The sequence below is a fragment of the Homo sapiens genome, chromosome 1 (genome assembly GCF_000001405.40).
Source record: "Homo sapiens chromosome 1, GRCh38.p14 Primary Assembly".
NCBI classification, from domain to species: domain Eukaryota; kingdom Metazoa; phylum Chordata; class Mammalia; order Primates; family Hominidae; genus Homo; species Homo sapiens.
This window is the reverse complement of record NC_000001.11, coordinates 192,185,816-192,190,677: the sequence shown is the minus strand read 5'-3', so window position 1 is coordinate 192,190,677 and position 4,862 is coordinate 192,185,816.

The following is a 4,862-nucleotide window of genomic DNA, read 5'->3' as shown; positions in this document are numbered from 1 at the left end:
GAATATAAATGTTAAAATGTTTATTTCTAGAATGGAAAATTAGACTTCTTTTTTATTCAACTTATGCTCCTTACATTTTTTTATTTGTCTTTAAGTGATATGTACAATTAATCATGTTAACTCTTCAATATGTACACTGTATAACCCTTTATAAAAACCATGGTATGATTTTAGAGTAGAGATGGTGGTTCAGAATATTATATTTTCACTTTTCTGTAATCTTTTTTCCAGAATATATACATTGTTTTTATTACCAATATATATGTCCTTGAAATTAAAGGATTTCCCCCATGTAACCTTTTTTGTTATGTTAAAGATCATTTAGACATGTGTCAATCATTTGTTGAAAAATTAGCTTTGAAATATTATAATATGCTATAATAATTACTTAACTCTGTCTCTAGAGATGTGTTTGCTGACTCAGCCATTCAAGAAAATGGGACTTTCTATCTAAAATACTCTTAAGTTTCTAAAGGCCTCAGAGACTCTATGAAAAATGAGAAAAATGAACGTGAAATGCTGTTTTTCCTCAGAAAGATAATGGCAGTTGCTGGAGTGAACTCCATCAATAATTTGCAATATTCAGTGATCTAAATAATGCTTATTTTTACGGGATTTTAGAAGTACTACAACTACTATTTTATTGATTTCTCCAATTACTATTATCAGTTATTTATAATCCCAGTTTTCTCATAAAAGTCTTCTGAATGATTTAAGTGTTGTCTTATTTCATCACTCCAAACACTTCCCTAAAGACTTTCTTCAATGAGGAAGAAATACTGATATTCCACAGCAGAGAAAATACACTCTTACCCAATTGACTGAGAAATGATTATGATAATTATATATTCCCTTTCAAAAATCAAACTCTGAGTGTGTGTGCACGCGCGCACACACTCCTGCGTGTGTAACACGCTGAAAACTTTTTATTTACAAATTTTTGTCAAAGTATCTGCCTGGAGAAAAGATAAAACAGACAAAAAACAACAGAAGAAAATATATGGTGAGGTGATTACTAAAGAAAAAATATGTAATGGGGCCAAACTGCAAGATTAGTGTTCCCTTCATGATCATGCAAACTTTTTAGATAATGTGTTTATTATATTTTTCAATAGAAGTGTTTAAGAATAATACAAATAAATAGGATTTCATGGGTTGAATCATGATTTTCCAGTGAACTTATTTAGTTCTCTCAGTTATCATACGTGTATGATCTTTTGGTTGATACTCATTTATCAGTATCTCTTAACATTCTTTCACAATTCTATCAAAAATTTACTTCCAAAGCCTCTATGTTAAATAATTTTCTATTAATGTAACTTGAATACATTTCTGGGAGCTTGCATTCTAATGTGAGTGATGCTCATTTATGAGATCAATTCCGGTTTCTAGAGATTGAGATTTTAAAGCAGATTTCAGTATGAATATAGCAATTTAATACCTAATCCTATATTATAAAATATACTCAGACATATTGTGAAGGCACAGCAACATGACTCTGCTGTTTAGCTACGTTGCATGAAATTGTCTTGCCATTTTTTAGACACAAGGAAGTCAAGATATATTATATATCAATGTTTCACATGTCATAGTGAAATGACTGATTTTTGTGTTTGCCTACATAGGAACACCGTTCATTTAAATACTACAGTGATAGCCTTTACATTATTTTATTTGTCTTTGTATCACTACTGTTCCATATAGTGACTGGGACAGAGGTGAAGCATGGCAAACATTTGTTGAACTACAGGAGTCTATGATTAAATAACGATAAATGAAGTATAAGATATTCCAAACTATGGATTATTAAATACATTTATTCCTGCTATCATTGATACTGATTTGATCTCACTTGGATTCATGTTTCAATATTTCAGTTTCTTTACATGTAACAACAGTTCCATGTTGAAAAAATGATTGTTGGGTTTTACATGTTGATGGCAATCTTTCCAAATGTTTTTTATTCACTTTCTTGCTCTAGTAAATTGCATCCAATAAAAAGAATTTTGACACTTTTTAGTGGATCAACATTTAACAATGATTCAGTCTTCATTTTTCCCACAATTTTATGTTTTTTACAGATAGATAACACAATAAAAAATAATAAGACTGTAGACAAACTATTTAAAATTTAATACTGTTGTTTTAGCAAATGTCTGACGTTTAAAATAGTTGCTTTGCTTATTACTTCTAAAAGGTTCATTTCTACTCTATAAAATTTAGTAGGTAAGATTCCAGGTAAATGTATATGTTTACTATTAAATAATTATGTCTAAAAACACAGCTGAATCTGATTTTTAAAAAAATTTTCCAAATGTAATATTTTACTACCTGTGCTGCTAAATTTGTATTGTTTCCCAAGTGATTTAATTTTGTAAATGTTTCTTAAAACTTGTGTTTTTTCATCTTCAAAGGACCCTTCTATAATTGGTTGATTTATAGAGCAAAACCAATAAAATGACCAAAAAATTCAAACCCATAATAAAATGTATTTATATATACATATACTTTCAGTTCCTCTTTTGTTTTATAAAAGATGCACAAAGATATGCAAGTTAGTGAATCTTTTGTATTGTCCTTAAATAAATGAGGAAATTAGTTACTTAACTCCTAGCTTCAAAAGATAAATGGTAATCTGCACGATTGGTCGTAGAAGGATTTGTTATTTGGGATACATACGAAGAAAAGTTTAAAACATGGCTTTCAGCTGCGTATTGCAGAATGCAAGCTTTATCAGACAATATACTATGAAGAGAGTTTTTCTTTCTCTCTCTTTCCCTGTCACTCCCACTGTTAAATTCACTTTTGAATGCTCAGAAGCTAGCAGTAGCAATCAAATGAAAGTGTTCAATAAATACTTGTTGATTTATTCAAGTTATAGAACATGAGTTTTGATAAGTTGTACGAATTTTTATTTTTATTGTTGAAAAGGCTTCAAATGATATAGCTAAATGAACGTGGTTACATCTGTGTTGGTAATTTTTTTCTTTTTTAGACAGATGATAAAGAGCCAGGAAATTAAATATAAGACCAGCCAATGTGGCACAATGAAAATAAATTAGTCTTTTTAAATTTAGTTAATGCCATAGCTAAGGCTTAGCATCTGATGAGGTGGGGCGGGGAGAGTATACATCTTCACCATGCTTTGTCTTTTTTTTCCTCTTAAAGAAGATCTGCACTGCACATAACTAAAAAGTTAAGGGTTTTTTTTTAAAAGCTTTTTCTTTAGAAAAATGCTTATGCTTAAAATGTTCCCATATTTTAATTTAGCTAAAATATCATTTTTTATGAAGTGCAAATTATAAAAGTTTTGATGAGAGCAATAGTCATCCCCATACTTTAGTCAAGCAAAATCTCATTATTCTCAAAGATATTTTTTGATTTGTAACCAAGGCATTATTAGAAAAATTTATATTATAATTAAAATGTGGTACTTAAACACAGGGAATACTTTCTAAAATCCATCCACACACTAAAGTCAGTTAACACTGTAGCTGGCACTTTGCAAATATTTACAATTTAATCACCATAAGAACACTGTGAAAATTTTATTCCAATATTACAAATAAAAATTGAAGATAAGAATTTAGGTAGCTTTCTCAACATAGTACACTTGGTAGCTAGTAGAGATAGAATTCAAATAAAAATGCACCACATATTAAAGACTTTACTCTTTGCTGAAATACTACTCTGACTTCCTTTTGATTTCACTTGACTTTGCAATCACTTATTGAACTTTTATTATGTACATAACTTGAAGCCTAGGTATTTACTATTGCTTATGGGCTTCAAAAAGTGCCCCAAATTATCTAATTCAACCCAACTTTATTTATCATCCAGTACTTTAAAGACATTGTTATCATACATTTGACTGGTCAAAAAAAAAATCAAGCTCTATTTCCTGTGACTTCTTTCCTTTCATGTATTTCTGGGTTTTCTATAATCTTGTGCCCTATTCTTAGACAAAAATCCCATATTAATTTTTAATCTTAAGTTTTCCTTCATTAATTATACTTATTTGCCTCTTTTCCTTACTTGGATACAAGTCAAGGTTTGCTTCGGAGAATATCAAGTGAACAAATTAGAATTAATGAGTGTGGAGACCATAAAGAACACTAGAAAGTAGAAATCCTGAGTCTTTATCTTAAAACGAACGTGGATGGAAGAGTCCTTAGAAGTTATATAAACTTTTGAGGATCCCACATCCAGTTAGGGGGCTCGCACACTGAGGCTTTCAAGTCTAGTTTCAATTTGTGCGTTTTGCCATCATTCAGCCAACACTCAGTGCTTTCTGTGCATCTGTGCTTGGCTGCTTTCAGTTGTCCAATTATTTATCTTGTTTCTGTATTTGTCCATGTTGTCTCCTCCAGAGAGTGCAAACTTTTTGAAGTCAGTCATTAATTTTATGAAGAAATCCTGGTATGTTTTTGAAGCATCTCATTGAATATTTCATAATTTAATGAAGAGATTGGATGATTTTGGACAGTATTACATACGGAAAAGCTACATGATACATATTTGTGGTACCAGAACAATGCTATTAAAATCAGCCCATGATGTTTCTGATGAGATTGCAAAGTTTGTGTCGAGTCTTAAGTCTGTATATGAAACAATTAAATTCTATGGAAAGAGACTGCCACAGAAAAAGAAAATAGGAATTAACTAAGGAAAACATAAAAATCACCTTTTTAGTTGATTTTTGAAACCCAAGATACTTTGTTTTTATATTCACAACAATTTAAACAACTGATATAGCATTAAGATCAATGATACAATAACTCAATTAATACTTTCTATCCCAATATTACTCTAAAAGAAGAAAATGTTTATTCCTTATTACATAATAGGAAGGATAATCAACA